Raw genomic sequence first — 26,205 nt, forward strand, 5'->3', positions numbered from 1 at the left:
CATAAAGATGCTCCAAGTCCCCACCAGATTAGCTAGATACAGAGTGTCGGTTGGTGCATCCACAAACCCTGAGCTAGACAAAGGGTGCTGACTGGTGTGTTCACAAACCTTGAGCTAGACACAGAGTGCTCATTGGTGCACTCACAATCCCTTAGCTAGACACAAAGGTTCTCCAAGTCCCCACTAGATTCAGGAGCCCAGCTGGCCTCACCCAGTGGATTTCACACCGGGAGGCAGGTGGAGCTGCCCACCAGTCCCTCACCATGCACCCACACTCCTCAGCCCTTGAGTGGTCAATGGGACCGGGTGCCCTTGAACAGGGGGCGGTGCTCACTGGGGAGGCTCAGGCCAGGCAGGAACCCATGGTGGGGAGGGGGGGTGATGGCGGGGACTGAGGGGGGTGGCAGGAGGGATTGGGTGGGTGGGAGCGGTTGGGGGGGGCGGTTTTGTGAGGACAGCGGCGGAGGGCGGGCGGCGGTACGGGTGTGGAGCCTCAGGCATGGGGGGCTGCACGTCTGGAGCCCTACCGCACGGGGAGGCAGCTAAGGCCCGGCGAGAAATCGAGGGCAGCACCAGTGGGCCAGCCGTGCTGGGGGACCCGGTGCACCCTCACAGCTGCTGGCCTGGGTGCTAAGCACCTCACTGCCTGGGTACAGCAGGGCCGTCTGGCTGGCTGCTCCGAGTGCGGGCCTGCCAAGCCCACACCCACCCGGAACTCAAGCGGGCCCGCAAGCGCCGGGAGCAGCCCCGGATCCCCCCGCCGTGCCTCCCCCTCCATACCTCCCACAAGCGGAGGGAGCCGCCTCCAGCCTCGGCCAGCCCAGAGAAGAGCTCCCATGGTGCAGCGGCAGGCTGAAGGGCTCCTCAAGTGCAGCCAGAATGAGCACTGGGGCCGGGGAGGCACCGCGAGCAAGCGAGGGCTGCCAGCACGCTGTCACCTCTCACTAAGACAGAGATTCTCAAGTTTTTCCAGTTCACAGCTCCCCTAGTATCTCTATAATTTTTTCATGGCACATACAGGTCAAAATAAATACCCCAAAATTTGTTTATGAATTAGTCAGGCCCAAATAATTTACCAATTATTTATGTCCTGAAAACACAGTGGCCACTTCAGGAAAAAATAATACAGACAGACTGAAGTAAAAATACATTTACTTTATTTTCAAATGATCACAATTTTTTTTTTTTTTTTTTTTTTTTTTTTGAGACGGAGTCTCACTCTGTTGCCCAGGCCGGAGTGCAGTGGGCCAATCTCGGCTCACTGCAATCTCCGCCTCCCGGGTTCACACCATTGTCCTGCGTCAGCCTCCCGAGTAGCTGGGATCACAGGCGCCGGCCACCATGCCTGGCTGTTTTTTCTTTTTTTTTTGTATTTTTAGTGGAGACGGGGTTTCACCGTGTTAGCCAGGATGGTCTCAATCTCCTGACCTCATGATCCGCCCACCTCGGCCTCCGAAAGCGCTGGGATTACAGGCAGGAGCCACCGTGCCCAGCCACAATTTCTTAATAATGTGAGGTGTGTGCCTGTTGGGCACTGAACAATTACTCAGACCTTGGACTCAGATTGGATACTGCCATTCTCATTTCCTATTTCACGTTGATTTTTTTCACAATGCGTCTTTTTTATCATAGCAACTGTCTGAAACTCAGATACTGTGCAAAACCATCAAAACCAGTGTTTTTGCACAGTATCTGACGGATGTTAATGAGTTTCCTTCAAAAGTCTAAACTACCTTGCAGTGTTCTGATGTGTTCACTGAGGCACCTCAGAGAGCCTCAGCAACAATTTGAGAACCATGGCATACAAGTCACCATGCTATGTCTAGATATGGCTGTGCTGGAGGAGTAATGCCTTCTAACCTGCCTAGCAGTCACTTCCTCTGTCCTTTACAGGCTCCTGTGTCATGCCAGGAGGACAAAGGGCTGATGATTTGACCAGCAGTTTCCTGGCTACCATTCCTCAGCCAGGAGGAACCAAGCTTCCCAACATGAAGCAAAACCAAACCCATTTAAAAAGTAAAGGTGATGATGGTAGGCTCCTGCATGTTTTCTGAAATTACCTATATTCCTCTCATCCTGTGCTCACAGGCATGTGACATAGGTAAGACTGAAAACTGGATTGAATTGTGAGGAAAGAACAAGTTTTCCCCAGCTCCCAAGCACGTCCCATCTGAATACTGGAAACTATGTGTAAATCTTAAACAGCAGGGTGTGGAGGAGAATCCGTTCAAATTAGAGTCGAATGTTATGAAGACATCCCAGGATCCTCCTGGGGAAGGAGATCTGAACCATCAGGCACCTGAAGAACTGCTTGGTGGCGAGGTAGTGTCGAGGCATTTCAGTGTGGTTAGTGCTACACATAGCCTCTATGCAGATGGGTGAGAAGCCTGATTGTCTTTGACTAAGACTGAATTTGGTTCCACTTCAAACTCTTATTCTACTGCATGGTAGAAATGAAATAGCAGGCAGTTCAGGCTTTCCCATGATGTTACACAAAACAATATGAAATTGCTGCTATTTGATCATTTCTAAACTATAAAAATTGCAACTACATATGGCCCAGATGATAATTTGTCTCCATCACTCCCAGGGTTTGTGACAGTCATGATCCCAGGGGCCACCTGGTTTCCATCACCACCCACTCTGTTGTGCCTCCGAGATGTCCTTGCTCTCCTATGCTCTCCATCACTGGTCCACGAAGACCTCATCTGCCTTAGCCCCATCAGCCAGGGCTTTCTGAGGCTGGAGTGAATCATCTCAGCAATTCCCACATCTCCCTTGGGTGCTGCTATGAAAGGTCTGTGACAGGAATGAGGCACAGTCCCTTTTCTCAGTGACATTTACCAACAGCCAAACTCTCGTGGTCCCTAGTCTCTGTTCTCTCCCGCTCTCTGGAGTGAGAAGAACCAGTTCTTCCAACTTTATTTACTCTTCCAAGTCAAATGCTTCTGGCATCAACTTAGTACCTGAACTGTAAGGGTCAGGGTTTTAAGCTCCTGCATCTCAAACCTTTGGTGTGGAAACAGAAAACATGAGTTTCTCTTCATATTCCCCAGCATCCCTCCTTTTAGACAGCAGATACCTCCCAGTGTAGCTCCAATGGGAGAAAGCCCTTGGGGTGAAAATAGTGAGGAAATCAGGACCCGCGCATCACCTTGGTGTGCAGTGGGTGTCTGGCTCCTCTCATGCCTGGGTCTTGTCCAGGTGTGTGGGATGCACCTGACAGGGAAAGTCCTGACCTCTCATTTCCAAGCTGTGTAACCCTGGGCAAGCCACTGACCTCTCTCCAAACATCAGTTTCCTCAGGCCCTCAGAGTTAGAAAACATACTGCCAGCAGGCCCAAGGCTCATCCTGTATGGTCAAATACAGTCAAGCAGAGAGAGAAAAATCTTCTGGATTCAATGCAAATGCAACAACTTCCTGTTGCATTAGGAGTAGCAAGACTGGCTGGCTTTCTAAAAGCTTAGAGATATTATTTTTGAAGCTATCTGTGTATACTTTATTCCCTTTCATACATACCCCTCCTGGCTGACCCAAATGAAAAAAGATACGAAACTCGTTTCTGGCCCGGCTCTTGCCTGCTCAGATGGAATGTGTGGTGATACGCCCATTTTTCCGCTCAGCTGTATTCCTGTTTATTCCTGTGAACACATGGTCTCTGTAATTGGCAATAATTTTTTTCTTTGGGATATTTACCTTCCTTTTGTGGGACAGCCCAGATTCTTGGGTGGATTCGTTTCCCACTCAATTACCAGAAAAGGGCACAATGTGATTGGGAGAACTACGTGGAAGAAAGCTCAGCTCCCAGGCCCTCACACAAGCAACTCTGTGCTCCCATCTATGTCAGAGCCTGGGGACTATGAGGAGATTGCAACGGAACATCCTGTCCCCTCCACCAACATTCTTTCCCCACGAAGCAGTGGCATTTTCTTTTGTGTTCTCACACAATTCAGACTAGGTGGAGTAGCCTGTACGGAATGACTGGAATGACCCTACTGAGCAGAAGTGTTCCCCTTCTCCCTTGCCAAAACTGTGGGCTGAGAGAGAACCCGCCTGATAGCCCCCTGCTTTGGAGGTGTTTCTGCGGTGGTCCTTTTAAAAAGGGTGTATTCGGGGCATGGGTTGAAACACCAAGCAAGTGTAAATCACAGGCTTCACACACTTGCCTTTTGGGAGGCAGGTCAGCTCCAACCTGCAGCAGCTGAGAAAGAATACATAGGGGTCCTTGAGGACAGAGAGCTTTGTTGATGACCAGCCTTAGGGTATAGGAGAAAGAGAAAGGCCGGAGCAGCCACAGCCACTTCTCTGTGCCCAGCAGTGTAGCCACCCGCCTAGCAATGCTCCAGCCATGCAGAATGGGCCTGCCTCCTCTCTGCCTTGTCCTGAGGATGGAGATATCTCTGACCTGGAGGTCCTAGGACCTCACTTCCTAAATGTGTGACCCTAGATAAGTTGCTTAACCTCTACCGGAACCTCAATTTCATCATCTGTAAAACAAGAATAATCAACCCACCTACCTCATAGGGTTGTTTTGATACTTAAATGAGACAAAGCATGTGTCTAAGGGTTTTCTGATTCGTAAAACACCACAGGTGTATAAGGATTGTTTTCCTGACTTATCTTAGGACCTTTTGAAAGAGACCTTCAATAAGAGACCTTCAATAAGTTCTCTAAGTTCAACCTCTACTATGCACAATCCTGAAAGGTCGTCTACCCTCTGCTTGAATCCTTGCTATTATGGGAAACTTACTACCTTTCTTTGAGGAAAAACTCACTACCACAAAGCCCTATGACTTGAGCTTCCTCTGGTTAAATCACAGCCATCTCACATAAGCTCCAGAGTAAATGGGAAGGGAGAACCTGACTCATCCAGCAATAGCAGAAAGATCATCACGTAGATTGTGTTGTTCTGCTATTTACAGATATTTGTGAAAAACCTGAAGTCAGTGTCATTCATCTTCCCTTTTGAAGGTTAAGTGTGTTTGTTTTTGTTTTTGTGACCAGAAATACATTAAAATTGGATTAGGAGCCATGTGCAGAAAAATTCACTGATGCTCAGTGCAGTGTATTCATTGTATAAACATGGAATAAAATGTTTGTCCCAAGATTATTTCACTTTGTCCACTTAGAAAGATTTCCTGTGACTTGCATAAATGTGGAAGAAAGCGTCTTCATTTCTTTTTAGCCAGGATCATTTGATGACATTTTGAAATGTCAGGGAGACTCTTAACTTAAATCTGACCTACAAAGGGCCATTGAGAACAGTGAAGTGTGCCCCCAAAGCCAAAAACTTTGTATAGCTTTAATTTCAGTACAGAGGTAAATCGACTTCTGCTTTTGGATTTAAGATTTGGCAAGCATGTGAAATTAAGTATCACTAAGGGGGACTTTTTACAGAGGGAAGCTAGGAGATTATGAGTGTTAGGGCTTACAGATTTAATCTGCAATTAGCATAAACATGCAAAGGTCACCCTAAAGAGATGCATGCCCCTGTGATCTGTAGGGGTAGCTGTCAGAAGTAGAGAGAAACGGCAAACAGAGTTTTGCAAACAAATGTGTGGTGGGGATTCAGGTTTTCATGTACGTGTTGCATCTGTGGCCTAGAAGATATCAGACACATGGCCTAGGAGAAATCAAGGGTGAGAAGTCACCAGCCCACAGAGAAGATATCACTAACCTTGAGGCTAACAGAAGTAAATGACAGCTTGTGGCAGCAGCTGTTGGTCACCAACTCAACAGTGATTACCTCCTTCTTCTTTGTTAACAGAAAATGATTTCTGTTCAGGAACTGAGCAGCAGATAGTTTTTAGAATCTGGACCCCATTGAAGTTTCAAGGTGTCAACCTTGATTAGTCTGTGTCCAAAATTGTAGTTCTGTGTCCCTTGTTAGTGATTGGTTTACGATGGGGCATGTGCCACAATTCTGATCAATGAGAAGTCTGCTAGAGGTACTTCTAGAAGAGTTTTCCTTACTTTTAAAAAAGAAGAAACCAAAGAGACTTTCTGTTTCTGTCATTTGGATGTTGCTGGGAGATAATGTGATGCTTGGAGCTGTTGCGGCCATTTTGCAACCATGAGGGGAGGACCCTGAGGCAAAGGCAACATGCTTAGGGTAACAGAATAGGAACATTGACAAATCTAGACTCCGTATTAGGTTGATGTGCTAAACCAATCAGTGCCAGTACTGCCTCCCTGTAGACTTATTACCTGGTCACTCACAGATGAGACTATGGAGTCAGACTTCCTAGGTTCAAATTCCAACTTTACCACTTACCAGCTGTGTGACTTTGGACTTCTCTGTGCCTCATATTTCTGATTTGTGTACCTACCCTGTAGTATTCTTGTTAGAATTAAATGAATTAATACGTGGACAGTGCTAGAACCATACCTGATCACTCAAACATTTAACATTCTTTCATCATTTAAGCCATTTTGAGTTGCATCTTCTAGTTGTTGCTTTTGAAAGTATCCTATGTAACACAGCAACTTTCGGTTAATGTTTTCCTGTCAGAAAGTTAGGAAACTAACAACAAAAACACAAACCATCCCTTAAACAGTGGAAAAAGGACTTGAGTGGATATTTCTCCAAAGAAGAGAGGCCATGGCCCACAAACACATGAAAACATTCTCAGCATCATTCATCATTAGGGAAATGCAAATAAAAAGGAGGCACCACTGTACACCCATTAGGATGGTAATGACTTTTTAAAAAGAAAACAGAAAACAGCAAGTATTGGTGAGGATGTGGAGAAACTGGAATTTGTATATTGCTGGTGGGAATGTAATATGGTTCAGCCACTGCAGGAAACAGTTGGTGGTTCCTCAGATGACTCAACACAGAATTATCACAGGACCCTGCAATTCCACTCCCAGGCGTCTGTACCCAAAAGAATTGAAAACAGGGATGCAAGTACATGCATACACATGTTGATAGCAGCACAGCAGCCAAAAGGTGGAAGCAAACCACATGTCCATTGATGGATGAATGGATAAATAAATTGTGATATATACATACAGTCGAATAACATTCAGCCATAATAAATTAGAAAAAATGATGGGAAATGAGAAAAATATCCCATTTACAAAAGCAACCAAAATCACAGAATACTCAGAATCAAACACAGAAGAAATACAAAACGGCCTAAGGACACGGAAGAAGACATGAAATGAAGGGAAACATCACACACGTGAATGAGCAGGCTCAGGCCTGACAAGATATCAATTATTTCCCAGTCACCCTGTGAATTTAATCAATCTTTAATTTTTTAACTTAGCAAACTGATTTTTAAATTCTACTCAAAGAATACATTTGTAAAAGCAACTGAATTAATTTTTTTAAAGGAGCCAGGTGTGGTGGTATGAGCCTGTAGTCCCAGCTACTCTGGAGCCTGAGCTGAGATAGAAAGGTTGCTTGAGCCCAGAAGTTTAAGACCAGCCTGGACAACACAGTGAGACCCCATTTAAAAAATTAAAGGGGATAGCTCTTACTAGATAGTAAGATATATTTTAAAATTACTATAATTTAGGAATTTGATACCAACATAGGAATGAGAAAATTGATTACCGAACCAGAAATCAGAATTTGTCATATACTGATTGGTATTTGCAATCGGTAGGAAAAGGAAAGATTAATTAAATAGTCCGGGAACAACTGCCTTGAAACTAATATACTAAAATAAATTCCACGTGGATTAAACACAAAAATAAAACCGCAATAGAACTCAAAGAAAATATAAGTAAATATTTTCCCATTTATCAGAACCCATCCACATGGTTCAATTCAACTGCAGGGGAGGTTTGAAAACGTGTGTGGTTTTTTGGGAGGCACTCACTGTTATTGTCATAGATACATAACCTATTTCTAGGGATGAGGGAAAGGACAAAACAAAGGATTGAAACTGAAGGGCTTTCTGCCTATCCTCATGTTTATCAAAAAAATTCCAATACCCAAAATACACCATCCCACAATTATAATTGGTTGCATAGGCAAAGCTTCTCTTTCTCGTTTGATGATCCTAGTATATCTCTATAAGGACCACATCTTGGCTGATATTCCAGCTGCACATTGGAATTACATCTGTTCTCATTCTCATATTAATAATGAAGCTTGATTAATAAATTACAAGGGCTAACTCTGGAGCTATTGGTTCAAAATTCCTTGCCAGTGAGGAAAACAAAAGAACAACTGTATTTTAAGAATAGATCCACCATAATAACATGCTGATGGTCAAAACTGATCAGGCAGTCTGGATGAAGCCTCACACCTTCCTACACTTTGCAAAAGAAGTAGCAGGTAAGGAAGGACTAGCCTGAGCTCCTGTTCAGCCCTGGGGAGGGAGCAGGTATGATGGAGCTGGCAATGTGGTCATTCCTGCTGTGCTCAGCCAATTTGCTTGAACTTCAAACAGAAGTGTTAACTTCACGGTGTGCAAGTTCATCCATCCTCTGCTTTTGTCCTCCTTGGAGGCTTTCAGTGGCACATGTTGGGGGAAGAAAAGGCACTTGTTCTCTTCTCAATTGTACAGAGCAGCTGATCAGTGTCTGCACGAATTCCTGAACAAAGAACATATTTCAGACCTTCTTATTGCTTGCTTATTTAATTTAACAGATGTCAGTTGTGACACACACATACGACTTTCTCCCTAGGCAATGGATTATGGCAAATTTCATTTTATGCCTGGCATGAAAGCCATGCAATATTGGGTATTGAAAGGACTTTTTTTTTTTTTTTTTTTTTTGAGAGACAGAAAGAGGGGAAAACCTGTTGTGCCTTAAAATCCCTAGTAATGCAAGAAAACCAATTTCCACAAAGGCATTGTCCTGGAAAGCTTTGTTGGTTTATGTCGCTACCTAATGGGAATGTGTCAGATTACACAAGGGCTGTTGTGTCAGGTCACACATCCTGTCACAATGAACACACTGGTGGTGTGTGGGTGGGAATGCAATTTATGGGGATGCCTGCGCTGGATGAGATGTTATCTTCACATTCTGTGTCTACTTCTAGTTATTTAACCTTGGCCAAGTCCCTCAACGCCTCTTAACTCAAGGATCCTCACCTAAAGGAGGGTTCTGGATGCCAGCTTTGTGAGATTGTTGACAGAACTAGGAAAAGGTGTACTTAACTGGGCTAGGTGGCTCATGCCTGCAATCCCAATGCTTTAGGAGGCTGAAGCAGGAGGATCACTTGAGGCCAGGAGTTAGAGACCAGCCTGGGCAAGATGGCAAGATCTCATTTCTTCAAAATAGAAATTAAAAAATTAGCTGGGTGTGGTGGTGTTAGCATGTATTATACACCATACCTGGGTAACAGAGAGACTCTTTCAGGGAAGAAAAGAAAAAAGAGAAGAGAGAAGGAGGAAGGAAGGAGAGAAAGGAAGGAAAGAAGGAAGGAAGGAAGGAGGGAACAAAGGAAGGAAGGGAGGGATGGAGGGAGGAAGGAAGAGAAGGGAAGAAGGAAGGAAAGAAGGAAGGAAGGAAGGAAGGAAGGAAGGAAGGAAGGAAGGAAGGAAGGAAGGAAGGAAGGAAGGAAGGCAGGCATGTATTTTAAACTGAGGCATAGCCCAAAGCTCGTAAACTCAGGGTTCTGTCAGTCCATGTAGTAAAATCATGAAGCCCTACATATTTTTTCTTCTTTTGGTATAAGTTTCGGTTTCAGAGGTATGTTTTTTGACACAAGTAAAACTTCCAGCATGGAAATAAACTGCAGTCAATGGCTGCCCTGGAAGTTGGAGAGGTGATAGGAAACTGCATTGAACTGGACTGCATTGAACTGGTTTGAGTGGCTGCATTGAACAGGACAACACTTATCTGGTCTCAGGTGGATGACTGCTGTCAGCCCAGAATGGCCAGGATGTGTGGCAAGATCTTTCTGTTTACCAAAATCAACCAACCACTTGGGATATCCTGCTTGTAAATGCTGGCCCAATTTTTTAAACACTACAGGGGCTAAAGAAATTATCCCTGGGGACCAGGTTCAGCTTGTGGATCTCAGCTGGCGCTCTGCTGCTCATTGCTATAGACTTGCAAGAAGGTGGGTGCTAGGTGTGGAGCCTATGCTATCTGGGGTACTCTATAAGTGGGGAAGGGGGGCTCAATGCTCCATGTCTGTGGGGAGGTTAGTGGGAATCTAGAGACAGAATCAGGATTGGGGACCTGAATTACTATGTTACTGGCCTGACACCAGAGGCTCAGCCTGGTAGAGGCCTACGTAAGGCCTTCCCTGGTCGTCAATCCTCCTTCCTCGCCACCATGTGTTTCTCTCCTCTTCCTTGGGACAGCTCTCCCTGAAGCCTCCAGGCTTCCCTTATGAGATCCCCCCAAGAGCTAAACAGTTCCTGGAGACCACTGAGAAGACTGCCAGACTGAGAGTCAGACTTGTGGATACATACTTACTGTTTGGCCTTGAGCGGGAACCTCCATCCCTCTGAGTCTTTGTTTCCTCATTTGTAAAGTGAGGAGGAAGAGAAAAGCCTTTCCCAGCTTCTCAGGATGGCACCCGGGTACAGATCATAGAGATGATGCATGAGGCATGCTTTGTGAACTTGAAAGTGCTGAGCAGTACTTGGTCATTTTAAAACAATGACATCTTCTTTGAATAATTCTTAAATCCTGGTACAGAATTAAGAAAGGATCATCTATTCAATTAGTCAACTATTTGTTCAAGAAATATGTACTGAGCCTTCCATTATGTGCCAGGTACTTCTAAGCAATAACTAAGACAGACATGGATTGCCTGTCATGAAATGTCAATTCTAGAGTAGGAGGCAGAGAATAGGGAAGAAAGGACGGGAGGAGGGAAGAAAGGAAAGAAGGACGTGAGAAGGAAAGGAAGGGAAGGAGAGAAGGACAGAAGAAATGAGGGAGGGAGGGAGGAAATGAAGGAAAGAGGGGAGAAGAGAAGGAGGGGAGAAGGGGAGGAGGGAGGGACGGAGTGAAGGAAAGAAGCCAGCTTAAAATTGGCCATGATGAGTATTTATACTACTAACATTGGAAAACTCAGTAAATCAGGGTTCTTCCTGCAGGCTGACTTTTAAATATTTGCCGTAACTACTGAAGCCAGAGGTTACAGTGAGGAGCCAGAGGAGGATTCTGAGTGCAGGAGAAACACAATTTGCTACTCATTTTATCCATTTTTCAAAGGATCCTCTTCACCATGTACAGAATAGACTGGAGCCAGGCACAGTAGCAGCGGGAGTTACCAGCCTAGAAGGCTGTGAAATAACCCAGGCATGAGATGCAAGGGGCTTCGGTTGGACTAGCAATGGAGTAGCCAGACATGGATGGTTGGGATATGATGGGGGGCAAGGCTGACAGCGTTCATTTGTGGATTGGCTGTGAGGTAAAGATAGAGACAGCTAGTGAATTGTACAGAAACACTCTGTTCATGAGGAGCTTACAGTTTAGTGGCAGAAACAAAGCAGGCAGTCAGCTAGGACTTTCACAGATATTTATTTATACTGGCTTTCAACGACATATAACACAGGGAAACCTAGCCACATTTGGAAATGAAATGTCATTTGAGCTTTGTTATGGTGAGGTATGATACAATCACACACCCATGGAGGTATTTACATATAATTTCCTCCACACCTGATTTGGTTCTGCAAACACCCCAGGCCCTATACATGTCATTCGCTAGTAATGTGCTGCGTCAAGGAGGCGTCAGAACCGTGTGAGCTTTCACACATTATCTACCCACCCAACTTCTGGGTTTTGCCTATTCTGTCAGGGTCCTCTGTGAGCTGCTGGGGTAATGGGCAAAGGGTGGAGATGCAAATGAAAATAGAAATGCTGAGTGAACAGGTTATCTAGTGGAAAGAGGGTGCCAAAGGAAGCAGGGTAGCTAGTGTGAGTGGACTGTTTGATACAGAGTGTGGGAAAGAGTAAGATCTGGAGATGCCCGGATGAGGGGAGTCTTGAGGAAGGAAATGAATGATGAGTTTCTTCAGGGCTGATGATAGGTTATGTCATTCAACCCATTCTGCAATGACCACCATGTGACTTTGCTCCTAATAAATAAGCAAATTATATTTCCCCACCCCTTGATATGGGGTTTGGCCATATCACTTGCTTTGGCTGAAAGACTGAGATGAATGGGAGTGACAGGGAACTCCTTATGAGATTTCTTCTTTAAAGGCTTTCCACATTTGCCATTGTCATCTGCCATTGTTTGCCACAGGAGGAGAATGAGAGACACACGCTGCAGAGCCAGCCTAGCTAAGCCCTGCCTCGGTCAGCCAAAAAGCAGCTGACCTGCAGACATGTGAGCAATTATAAATGGTCATTGCTTTATCCTGCCGAGTCTTGAGGAGGTGTTTGCACAGCAACAGCTGACTGATGCAGGGACTTACAGTGTGTCCCACAGTGTAGTTTGGCTTTTCCTCATTTGGTGTAAGTAGGGACTTCAGTTACTTCTAAATGCTTTCCAAGTGGTTGATTACTATTTATTTTGGTAGTATTGAAAGTGTCTTTGCAAAAATTCTATCAGTGAGAAAAATTATAACAGTAAGCTGAGCTAACTAGTTACACGTAGTTAGACAGGCATGACTGGGGCAAGAGAGAGATCTTTCCTCTCCTACCAGGAATGTTAGGTGATAGTTTGAGAACTATCACACTGTCTCTGAAAAAAAGATAATTTGGGGGTCTAGGCACAGTGGTTCACACCTATAATCCCAACACTTTGGGAGGCAGAGACCAACAGATAGCTTGACCCCAGGAATTCAAGACCAGCCTAAGCAACAAGGCAAATCCTGTCTCTACAAAAAATACAGAAATTAGCCAGGTGTGGTGGCACACACCCGTAGTCCTGGCTACTCAGGAGGCTAAGGTGGGAGGATCAATTGAGCCCTGGAGGTTGAGGTTGCAGTGAACCATGATTGCCCCACTGCACGACACCTGGGGTGACAGAGCAAGACCTTGCCTCAAAAAAAAAAAAAAAAAAAAAGCTTTTGTTACCATAGGTAGTTAGGCAGACATGAGCAGGGAAGGAGAGGGCCCTCTTCACCAGGAATGTCAGGCGACCATAAGGTGATAGTGAGGTGGTTGTTAAACTGTCTCTAAAATAATAATTGGTTGCAGCCAGCGCCAGGGAAACGCAGTCTCCCAATAGATAGAAAACACCTGAAACTGATGATCAGCAGCTTCCTGATTAGATGGCAGGAGTTGGGTGAGTGAACTCAAGCATGCACACTAAGAGGCAAAATGGTGGAATTAACTGGTACCTCACCTTCCTTAGGGAATACTCAACCGGTAAGGGAAAAATGTTTCAAGGCGGCCTGAATACAACTTTAGTAAACACACTGCACACGTGGCCCCTCCTAAGTGCTGGCAGGCCACCCCAAGGGAAGGATCAGGGGAGAAGGGCACAATCACCCCAGAAGCATAAAAACCCAAGTCAACGGTCAAACCTTGCACTTGATCTCTCAAGTCACCCGCTTGCCCCTCTTCCAAGTGTACTTCACTTCCTTTCATTCTTGCTCTAAAACTTCTTAATAAACTTTCACTCCTTCCCTTAAGCTTGCCTCAGTTTCTCCCTCTGCCTTATTCCCTTTGGTTGAATTCTTTCTTCTGAAGGAGGTAAGAATTGAGGTTGCTGCAGTCTTGTGTGGATTCACCACTGATAACAGTTAAAATGGTAAATTTTATGTTATGTATATTTTATCACAATAAAAATTACCAAATAAGAGATAATTGGCTATTTAAACATAAATAATAACCATGTATTATAGGGGTTATGACTTATATAAATTGGAAGACAAAAACAATAACATAAAGGCTGGTGGGGGGAGAAATAGAAGTATACCCATTTGAGGATATCATACCACATATGAAGAGGTATAGTATCCCTCAAAATATATCGTGATAAGAAAAGATGTATGCTACCACTAAAATAATAAAACAAAGAGTTAAAGCTAATAAGTCTATAAAGGAGATAAAAATGGATCATAAAAATACTCAACTAATTCAAATCAATCCAGTTAATCTAAATTAATCCAATTAATCTAAAATAAGACAGAGAGGGAGGAAAAAAGGAACAAAGAACAGGTGGAACAAATAAGAAACAAATGCCAATGTGATAGAGTGAAAGTTAGCCATTACAGATAAAAAGTTTAAATAAAAATAGTCCAATTAGCCCCATTAAAAGGCAGACTGTCAGATTGGATAAAAATGCAAGACAACTTTGTGCTGCCTGCAAGAGATGCACTTTAAAATATAAAGACACAAATGGGTTAAAAGTGAAAAAAAATTTTCTTTTCTTGAGGCCAGGCTGTTCTCAAACTCCTGCGCTCAGGATCCACCTGCCCCAGCCTCCCAAAGTACCGGCATTACAGGCATGAGCCACGGGGCCTGGCCAAATAGTCTAAGTTTTGACAAGGGTATGCCATTGCTGACACTGGCCAAGAGGAAGCTGGAGTGGCTGAGCAGTTTTCTGAGAGCCAAAACCCAACTCTGTGTGTGAGTTTTCAGCCACTACAAAGGCCTTACCACAAGTTTGTTCCATGGGTCCTCCCCACCGGCCTCGGTGCACAACCAGAACCAGAGCACACAGTCCCCTAGGGGAGTTGTATCAAAGACTCACGTCCCCCCGCACTTATGTTCTTACACATACCTGCATTCCCAGCCCAGATACGTCCATGCAGAGGTCCCCGGATCAGGAGGGTCCTGGCAGAGGTCTTTCTTGGCTGCCTCTACTAGACACCAACTTCTTGAGGGTAACCTGAAAAACATGCTTTTCTCTCTTCTTCTTCTTCTTCCTCCTCTTCTTCTTCTTCTGCTTCTTCTTCTTCTTCCTCTTCTCCTTCTTCTTCTTCCTCTTCCGCTTCCTTCTCTTCTTCTTCCCCTTCTTCCTCTTCTTCTTTTTTCTTTTCTTCTCATTCTCCTCCTCCTCCTCCTCCCCCTCCCTCCTCCTCCTCCTCTTCTTCTTCTTTTTTTTTTTTTTTTTTTTTTTTTTTTTTTTTTTTTTTTTGAGACTGAGTCTCATGCTGTCGCTTAGGATGGAGTGCAGTGGCGCGATCTCGGCTCACTGCAACAACCTCCGCCTCCGCGGTCCTCAGTATTAAGTATCTTCCACTCCTAGCCTTCCCCAAACTCCCACCCTTCACCACAGGGTCCATAAATTCCCAGCAACAGCGAAATAGCAGGAGGCTCATGTTCGGCAGTCCGTCTCGCTAAGCAGGGAGATGATCATCCCCATACCCCAAACTCCCCTCCTCTGAGCTGCTCCATGGGGGAAAACATGGAACATTCTGGGAGCTGGCACTTCTTCCTTTTTTGCTTCTTGCTTATACTGTTGCATAAGTGAATAAAGTCTTGATGGTTTCTTTTTTTTTTTTCTTTTTAAGTTTGGCCGTTTTCTTAACTGACCACGTTAAAACCTGGCAGCTCAGCTCTCTCTCCAGCTGAGCCCTCGACAGAGGCTATATTAATATACTAAAAGAAGTAAATCTTAGAGTGAAAAATGTTACCGTAGGCAGAGAGTCATTTCAGCATGACAAATTGGTCAGTTAATGAAAATGTGACAATCCTAAGGGTTTAGGTACTTCATAACAGTGCTTCAAATACATGAGGCAAAAACTAATAGATTGTAAGGAGAAATAAACACATCCATAATTGTAGCTGGGAATTTCAATAATCCTTTCTCGATAATTAATAGAACAAGTGGACAGAAAATCAGCAAGGATATAACAGATTTGAACAATACTATCAAACAACTCCTAATTGACATTTTTACAACACTCCATCCAATGGCAGCAGAATATATATTATTTTCAAGTACACATGGGCCATTTACAAAGACCAACTACATTCTGAGCCATAAAACCATTCTCAATATACGTAAAAAGATTCAAGTCATACAAATATGTTCTTTGACCACAGTGAAATTAAATTAGAAATCAATAGAAGAGGGATAACTGAAAAATACCCAAATATCTAGAAACTAAATAACATGCTTCTAAATAACTCACAGTTCAAAGAAGAAATCAAAAGGGAAATTACAAAATATTCTGAGGTGAGTGAAAATGAAAATACAGTATATAAGAATTTGTAGGATGCCACTAATGTTTGGCATCTAATACTAATACTAATGGAACTGTATAACACCAAATACCTATTTTACAAAAAAAAAAAAAAATGATTCAAGGCAATGACCTCAGGATCCATCACAAGAAATAAATAATAAAAACAAGAGTGCACATTAAACTCAAAGGAAGCAGACAGTAGGAAATAATAAAGATCAAAAGAGAAATCAATAAAATAGAAGACAAAAATAGAGAAAATCAACAAAAACAAAGTTGGTTTCTTGACAAGAAAAATAAAATGGAGTTGGGCACACTGGCTCATGCCTGAAATCCCAACACTTTGGAAGGCCAGGGCAGGTGGATCACCTGAGGTCAGGAGTTCTAAATGAGCCTGACCAATATGGTGAGACACCATCTCTACTGAAAAATGCAAAAATTAGCTGGGCTTGGTGGTGCACACCTGTAATCCCAACTACTCAGGATGTTGACGCAGGAGAATTGCCTGAACCCAGGAGGCGGAGGTTGCCCCATTGAGCCGAGATCAACCCATTGCACTGCAGCCTGGGCAACAAGACTGAATCTCCATCTCAGAGAGGAAAAAAAAAAAAAAACAAAGCAAAAGAAAATGGATAAATCTCAAGATAGATTGATTAGGAAAAAGGAGAGATCAAAATTTTTCACATTAGGAATGAGAGAATGGGTATCAGTGGTTTCTAAGATATTAAAAAGTATAAAAAGGGAATATCACTTGTAAAATTTTATGCCCATAAATTTTACAATGGAAATGAAATTAACAAATGTCCTAAAACATATAAAATATCAAAGCTCAGTCACAAAGAAACAGATAATAGCCTTATATTTAAAAAAAAAAATCAATATAGGGTGTGCACGGTGGCTCACGCCTGTAATCCCAACACACTGGGAGGCTGAGACAGGTGGATCATCTGAGGTCAGAAGTTCAAGACCAGCCTGACTAACATGGCAAAACCCTGTCTCTATTAAAAATTCAAACAAATTAGCTGGGCATGGTGGCACACACCTGTAATCCCAGCTGCAAGGGAGACTGGGGCAGAAGAATTGCTTGAACCCAGGAGACAGAGGTTGCAGTGAGCTGAGATCGCACCACTGGGCTCCAGCCTAGGTGACAGAGAGACACTCCATCTCAGAAAATAAATAAATGTACAAATAAAAATAAATGTAAAAATTTTCAATTTGTAGTTAGAAATCTTCCCACAAAGGAGATTTGAGACCCAGATAGCTTTGCCAGTGAATTCTGCCAAACATTTAATGAAGAAATAATACCAATTCTATACAAACTATCCCAGAGAACTTATGAGGCAGGGAATATTTGTAAGAGACCAGAATTACCATGGCACAAAAACCTTACTAAGATGTTAACAAAAAAGCAAACTATAGGCCAAGATTCTTCATGAATATAGAAGAAAAAAATTAAAATTTTAGCAAGCTGAATTCAAAATCTATAAAAAGAATACAATATCATGATAAATTGGGATTTTACTTCCTAGGAATTCAGGATGATTTTACACTGAAAATAAATCAGTACAATTCTCCATGTTAGCAAAGAGATAAATCACATGATCATCTCAAAAGACACAGAAAAAGCAGGTAACAAAAATCTAACATGTATTATTAAATAAAAACTTTCAGCAAACTAAGCATAGAAAAGCATTTCCTCAAACTGATAAAGGGCATCTGTGATGGTTAATACTGAGTATTAACTTGACTAGCTTGAAGGATGCGAAGTAGTGTTCCTGGGTGTGTCTGTGAGGGTGTTGCCAAAGGAGATTAACATTTGAGTCAGTAGACTGGGAGAGGCAGACCCACCCTCATTCTGGGTGGCCACAATCTAATCAGCTGCCAGCACAGCTAGAATAAAGCAGGCAGAAGAACATGGAAGAACTAGACTTGCTGAGCCTTCCGGCTTTCATCTTTCTCCTGTGCTGGATGCTTCCTGCCCTCAAACATCGGAGTGCATGTTTTTCAGCTTTTGGAGTCTCAGGCTTGATGCCAGTGGTTTGCTAAGGGCTCTCAGGCCTTCGGCCACAGACTGAAGGCGGCACTGTTGGCTTCCCTATTTTTGAGGTTTTGGGGCTTGGACTGGGCTTTCTTGCTCGTCAGCTTGTAGACGGCCTATCATGGGATTTCACCTTGTGATCATGTGAGTCAATACTCCTTAATAAATTCCCTTTCATATACACATCTCTCCTATTAGTTCTGTTCCTCTGGAGACTCCTGAATAATACAGCATCTATGAAAAATCTATAGCTAAAAACTTACTTCATGATAAAAGACTGAATGCATTTCCTCTGTGATCAGGACTAAGACAAGGATGTCTGCTCTCACCACTTGTATTCAACCTTGTGCTGGAGATACTGGAACATATAATCAGACATGAAAAAAATGCATCCAGAATGGAAGAAATAAAACTGTCTTTATATATAGCCAACATGACTATCTATCTAGAAAATCTAATAGAAACACAAAAAAGTTAGAAGTAATAATTGATTTTAGCTAAGGTTTTAGGATAAAATATCAATAAAAAATCAACTGTATTTCTACAGACTAGCAAAGAACAATCACAAGTTGAAATTTTAAAAATACTTTGAATAACATAAAAATATGAAATACATAGGGATAAATCTGACATAAAATGTGAAAGATGTGTACACTATAAACTATAATACATTGCCAAAAGAAATTAAGGACCTATATAAATGGAGAGATAGACCATGTTTATGGATTAAAAGACTCATTATTATTAATATGCCAATTATCTCCAAATTATGGATTCAATGGAATCACAATCAAAACCCTAGCAGACATTTTATAGAAATTGACAAGCTGACTCTAAGATTAATGTGGAAATGAAAAGGAACCATACTAGACAAAACAATTTGGGAAAAGAAGAACTAGGCGGATTAACACTGTCTCACGTCAAGACTTATTACTAAGCTACAGTAACCAAAATAGTGGGTATTGACATCACAATAGACAAGGGATATCATTAAAAAATATAGAGAGCCCAGAAAGAGACCTAAATATATATGGGGTGTGTGTGTGTGTGTGTGTGTGTGTGTGTGTGTGTGTGTGTCTGTCTGTCTGTCTGTCTGTGTGTTTGTGTTTACAAATGTGCAAATGTAATTAAGTGGAGAAAGGACAGTCTTTTCAACAAATGGTGCTAGAATAATTGGTTACCATATGCAAAATCCATACTTCACACTATACCTAGAAATGAACTGAAAAATGGGTCACAGGCCTAAGTTAGAAACCAAAAACGATAACATTTCTAAAAGAAAATCTTTGTGACTTTGCACTGGGCAAAGATTTCTTAGCTGTAACACCAAAAGCATGATCCATAAAAGAACAAACTGATAAACTGGATTTCATCAAAATTCAAAACTTCTGTTCTTCAGATGATGCTACTAAGAGAATGAGAAAACAAGCCAGACTGGGAGAAAATATTTGCACAGAATATGTCTGATAACAACCTTCATCCAGAATGTATAAAGTACTCTCAAAATCGAGTTAGAAAAACAATAAAACAATGGGCAAAATACTTGAACAGATACTTCCACAAAGAAGATACAGGGATGGGAAATAAGCATATGAAAAGATGTTCAAAATCATTAGTAGTTAGGAAAATACAAGTTAAAAGCATTATATGCCTACCACAATAGCTAAATTTAAAAAGATTGACAATACCAAATGTTGTCAAGGAGGTGGAGGAATTAGAACTGATATACTGTTGGAAACGAAAAATGGAAAACCTGCAGTTTCTTAAAAAGTCAGACGTATTCCTGCTATGTGATCCAGCACTTGTATATCCAAGAGAACTAAAAGCGTATCATAAAGTGACTCATATATAAATGTTTATAGCAGCTTTATTTGTAAAAGTCTCACACTGAAAACAACCCAAATGTCCATAACAGGTAACTAGATAAAGAAATGTTGGTGTATTCATACAATGAAATACTATTCAGCAAAAAAAAAAAAAAAAAAAAAAAAAAGGTCTATGGATACATACAACAATATGAATGAATGTTAAAGTAATTATGCTGAATAAAAGAAGCCACACCAAAATAAACTACTTATTGTATTATTACATTGGTATATGCCTCTAGACAATTAAAACCAATCTGTATGACAGAAAGGAGATCAGTGGTTGCCTGAGAAGAGGGTACATGGAGAGAGACAGGAAGGAGAGATTACAAAGGAGCACAAGGATACCTTTTGGGATGATGTTTATGTTCACTATATTGATCGGCTTCATGGGTATATACGTATGTCAAAACTTATCAAATTGTACACTAGATACATATGCTGTTTATTTTATGTCACTTATACTTCAAAATGCTGTTAAAACTCTCACCAAATTAGGTATGCAAGGAATGTTCCTCAACAGAATAAATGCCATATTGGACAAGCCCACAGCCAACATCATACCCAATGGTAAAAAGCAGAAAGCTTTTCTTCTATGATCAGGAACAAGGGTGCCCACACTCACCACTTCTATTGTGCATAGTACCACAAGTGCTACCTAGAGCAGTTAGGCAAGAAAAAGAAATAAAAAATATCCAAATCAGAAAGGAAGAAGCAAAATTGTCTCCGTAGATGACATGACCTTGTATACAGAAACTCCACCAAAAAACTGTTAGACCTAAAAAGAGAATTCAGTAAAGTTCCAGAATACCAAAATCAACATTAAAATTGAATTGCAATTCTTTCATTATTATTATTATTATTATTATTATTATTATTATTATTATACTTTAAGTTTTAGGGTACATGTGCACAACGTGCAGGTTTGTTACATATGTATACATGTGCCATGTTGGTGTGCTGCACCCATTAACTCCAACAATGATAGACTGGATTAAGAAAATGTGGCACATATACACCATGGAATACTATGCTGCCATAAAAAATGATGAGTTCATGTCCTTTGTAGAGACATGGATGAAGCTGGAAACCATCATTCTCAGCAAACTATCGCAAGGACAAAAAACCAAACACCGCACGTTCTCAATCACTGGTGGGAATTGAACAATGAATTGCACTTCTATACAGCACCAACAAATTATCTGAAAAAGAAAGAAAGAAAACAATCCTACTTACAATAGCAACAAGCACAATAAAATTACTTAGGAATACATTTAACCAAGAAGTTTAAATATCAGCATATAAAACACTGAGAAAATAAATTGAAGATGACACAAATAAAAAGAAAGACATCACATGTTCATGTATCAGAATTAATATTATTAAAATATCCATACTACCCAAGGTGATCTATAGGTTCATTGCAAACTCTATCAAAATTCCAATGGCAGCATTCTTCACAGATAGAGAAAAAATAATTCTAAGATTCATATGGAACCACAAAAAAACCTGACCAAAGCAATCTTGAGAAAGAAGAGCGAAGCTGGAGGCATCACATTTCCTGATTTCAAACTATGTTACAAAGCTATGTTAATCTAAAGAGTATGGTACTGGCATAAAAACAAACACATAGACTAATAGAACATCATGAGTTTGAATGGTACAGGTCCACTTATATGTGAATTTTCTTCTGTTTCTGTCACATCTGAGACAGCAAGACCAATCCTCCTCTTCCTTCTCTTCCTCAGTCTACCCAATAGGAACACAAGGAGTATGAAGACCTCTCCGCTTTGACTTAAGGAATAGTAAATATATTTTCTTTTCCTTATGATTTTCTTAATAACACCATCTTTTCTATAGTTTACTTTAGCGTACAAATACAGTATATAATACATATACAAAATACATGTTAATCAAGTGTTTACGTTATTGGTAAGGCTATTGGTCAATAGTAGGCTATTAGTAGTTAAGCTTTTGGAGAATCAAGTTTTAAGGCCAAGGTAATTCAAGGCCCAGTCTGGGAAACATAGTGAGACCCCATGCCTTAAGAAAAAGTTATATGCTGATTTCCGACTATGCAGGGGTCAGTGCTCAAACTCCACGCTGTTCAAGGGTCAACAGTGTATTATATGCAGAATATAAGAGAGTTGAACTCATCAAAACATAGAGTACCATGGCAGTTGCCAGGGAATGGCGGTGGGGGAAATGGGTAGATTTTGACCAAAGGGGACAAACTTTCAGTTATAAGATGAGCAATTTCTGAGAATCTAATGTATAGCATGGGTGATAATGTATGTATTAATTAATTTGATTGTAGTAATTATACAATGTATTAGGTTGGTGCAAACTAATTGCACCAACCTAATTTAGGCATATCAAATAATTGCATTGTACACCTTGAGTATATACGCTCTTTGTCAATTAAATAAATAAAAATAAAAATGGTCAGATGAGTTTAATAATTAAGAATCTGAAAGAGGGAAAAGTCAGTTAGAATTTTGCTTGTAGTTACAGAATAGAGCCAAATATGTAAAATTTCCCTGTTCAATTAAAAATCACTAAAAAACTAACACTAATATGAATGTATGCTAATTCTGCAATGGTTTTGTACAGTGTGGTCATCTACAAGTTCAAATGCTACACAAGTATTCAAAAAATCATTGGGAAAGTGTTTCTAGTCTAATGCTAAGTGAGTAAAGGAGACTGAAAAATTGTGCCTAAACCTATGGGTGACAACTTTCCTTCTCACTATTAAAACTTGTTTCGAGCAATACTTTGTAATAAAATAGGAATGGAAACATTTTAAGGCTATTAACTTTTAATCAATGACTTAAAGACAGTCACTTATTTTTTTTTCTAAACTATTCAAAACCTAAACAGGTGGTATGGAGGAAAGACCTGCACTTTTTGAGGAGTTTGAATAATCAGGCAATTGACCACATCAAACAAATTAATCTCTAGGGAGAGGCTGAAAATCCCTTCTCCAAAATGCTTGAAACCAGAAGTGTTTCGGATTTGGCGGTTTTTTTGTTTGTTTGTTTTTGATTTTGATTTTGGAATATTTGCATATATATAATGAGATATCTGGGAGTGAGACCCAAATCTAAACATGGAATTCATTTATGTTTCATATATACCTTAGGCACATAGTCTGAAAGTAATTTTATACAACACCTTAAATAATTTTGTCTATGAAACAATGTTTTTGTACACTGAACCATCTGAAAGCAAAGGTTTCACTATCTCATATTAGCACTGAAAAACTTTCAGATTCAGGGGCATTTCTGGATTTGGGATTTTTGTATTAGGATGCACACATCCTGTACTGATTTTAAAAGAAGGCTTTCCTGGGAATGATGCAGCCCAATAGAAATGGCAACTACCATTAAAAGCAAAAAGCTAGATTGAAATATTATCAGAATAAGTTGCCACATCACTCATTATTCACTAAAACACTTCTATTCAAAAGGCCCAATTTTTGTAGATTCCTGAAGTAGGACTTGACACCAGGTATCACAAATTTACAAACTTACCACTTCAGCGTTTTAAAACTTTCTTACCAGGATCCCTGGTCTTCTGGGTGCCATGGAAACTCCAACTAGAAAAGAAAATGAAATTCCCTTCGGCTGGAAACTGTTCGTGTCATTCCTGAGCCCCCCTAGGTGTCTATTGTAGATTATATAAGCTGCAGTTCGCAAATGCACTTTGCATTTGTTCCACAAACCCTGTTGAATGCTTGTTTTGTAGGAGGTTCCACATGCTGGGCAAAGAAGAATGAATAAAACACAGTCTCTGCCCTGGAAGAATTTACAAAGAAATAGTGGTACTACAGGTGCTGTGGAACAGCACAGAGTGTGTAAATGTTAGCTTAATGGTATCTTTCTAACATCAAACTTTTTTATTTCTTCTGTTTTCACACTCTCATTGCAAAAAACTCAAACAATTCAGAAAAGAATAAAGAAGAAAATTTAAAACTCTTTGAAATCCTACCATCAAGTAATAAGCATTGCTAACATTTGATGAACATCTTTCTTAAGCATTCATGTACTAAAAAAATGAGAATTACACCCTAAACGCTATTTTTATAAACTCAGTGCTATTTTTCAACATTCCTTTTCCTAATCAGGAGCATGTAGTAGATCTCATGAGATGCTGCATCTTTTTCTTAATGTGATGTCAGCTATTATCATTTATATGCATTGGCCTGTCATAAAAGTCTGCAGAATCTAACTAAAGCCACCTAGGTTCATTCACCTCTACCTTATCTTGCAGGTGCTGCCTCTTGTCCCAGTGTGGAAGGAACCCTGACCTTGCAATTGAAAGGCCTTGCTTCTGGTGCTGACCACGTTCTGACCCTCAGCCATCCCTTAAACCTCCCTAAGTTCCAATGTTCTCTTCTGTAAAACGAGGGTTGTAAATATTTGCCCTGCCTGCCTTCTTCCCACTGGCTATTCCCTCTGCCAAAAACTGGGCTACTTGACCTCCAGGAAGCTTGCATATGTGTCACTCTTTATTCTCCTTATCATCTTTCTCCTTCACTAGAACATAAAGCACTACAAGGGCAAACATTTTTGTATGCTTTGTTTCCCGATATTTCTGTCTAGAACAATGTCTAGTGTAGTAGATGACAAACAAATGCTTGCTGAATTAATTGGACAGAGCTGAACAGAGAATGGGAGGTGGGAAGACTGCCTCGCCACACAACTCTGGGGGAATCCTTCACATTGTAGTCCATGTGATGGCATCTCCTGGAAGTGTGCAACTGCACAGGCTTCACAGCTGTGCGGCAACCCCAACAACAACCGTGGAAGTACTCTGTCAAAGAGTATGAATTATTAAATAAAAATATTTTTTCTAGTAATGAAAAAATGTGAAAACAAATAAAGGAAAAAAATCATCTCAAATTCTTCAACCTAGTGATAATATCTTCATTAGTATTTGCTGAACATCCTTCTAGACACTTCTCTACTGATATATATATATATATATATATATATATATATATATATATATCAATCTTCATTTTGCATAAGTGACATCATACCATAAATGCTATACTAGTATCTGCTTTTGTTTTTGCCCAATAGTATATTATAATCAGCTCTCTTTGTCAGTAAATACAAATCCATATCATCTCTGTAAACCAGGGGTCTGCAAATTAAGGCTCATAAGCCAATTCCACCTGGGTTTTGTGTTTTTTTTTTTTTTTGGTAAATTAACAAAGTTTTATTGGAACATGAATGTGCTGATTCCTTTATGTACTATCTATGCCCATTGCTGTGCTACAATAGCAGAATCGATTATTTCTGACAGACACCATATGGCCCACAAATCTACAATACTTACTATCTATTCTTTTCCAGAAAAGTTTACCAGCCCTGCTTCGTAGCTGAGTATTAAATGGTATGAAAATACTCTATTTGAATTATTCCTCTATCAGAACATATTTACCTTGTTCCAATTTTTGTTGATAAATACGTCGTATACACATCTTTCAACTCATATCCAGTACATCACCTTGAGATAACTTCCTAGAAGTGGATTGGCTGGGCCAGACATGAACTCTATAAAGGTTCTTGATACACATGATTAAAATGCCCATGGCATGGAACCCTCATCTATTTCTGTGCTTTTGTATTTTCTGTGTGTATTTCAGTTTTGTTTAGTTGGCTCAAGTAAAATTAGTTCCTTTTGAAAACGTTCAGCTTGTATGAACTCAACTAAGGGTACCAGGAATTTCCATCCGCAACCCAGCCAGGAGTTTGCCAGAGGCCAGGAGAGCTCCTGTCCAGGCAGCTCCAAAGAGGCCAGGGGTCTGGTGAGGAATGGAGAAGAGCACGACTGAAAACTTAGAAGAGAGCAGCCAGGGACTGATGCCAGATCCGTTGACCCTGTCAAAAGATCTGAACTCTGCCCCACATTTGTCCTTTTGACCCCATCGAGTTAACCAGGAGTTTAGCCATCCATGCTCCACACAACTGTAGCTTTTCTTCTTCTTCTGTGCACCTATAACTCTGTCTCATTAGATTGCTCTGAAGTTTGTTATTGATTATCTAGGAAATAAATACAACCAACTTTTTGCCTATTTCCCAATTGTTACGGCTGGTAGAAATAATCAGCATAAAATAAAACTGACAACAGATGATACCACACATGGCAACAATGCTATTGATTAAAAATGGAAAGAAGGCTCGCATCCTTTTGATAAAATGCATTCAAATTTTATTTTTTGTTTTTGTTTTTATTTTTTATTTCGATAGCTTTAGGGGTGCACGTGGTTTTTTG

The 26,205-nt window shown here is 41.0% G+C and overlaps 1 long non-coding RNA gene across 2 annotated transcripts; it reads right to left on the minus strand.

The window, feature by feature from the left end:
* Positions 1 to 21,021: 21,021 nt before the first annotated feature.
* On the minus strand, positions 21,022 to 24,363 carry LOC105377238 (uncharacterized). Of its 2 annotated transcripts, none has more exons than XR_938664.2 (3): positions 24,181 to 24,363; positions 23,481 to 23,518; positions 21,022 to 21,122 (listed from the first exon to the last, which is right to left on the minus strand). It is a non-coding gene; the product is annotated as an uncharacterized LOC105377238 (long non-coding RNA). The 2 variants fall into 2 exon arrangements; XR_938663.2 differs by having other exon boundaries at positions 23,454 to 23,518.
* Between the last annotated feature and the right edge of the window lie 1,842 nt (positions 24,364 to 26,205).

This window comes from Homo sapiens, chromosome Y, assembly GCF_000001405.40.
Source record: "Homo sapiens chromosome Y, GRCh38.p14 Primary Assembly".
In the NCBI taxonomy this organism is placed as follows: Eukaryota; Metazoa; Chordata; class Mammalia; order Primates; family Hominidae; genus Homo; species Homo sapiens.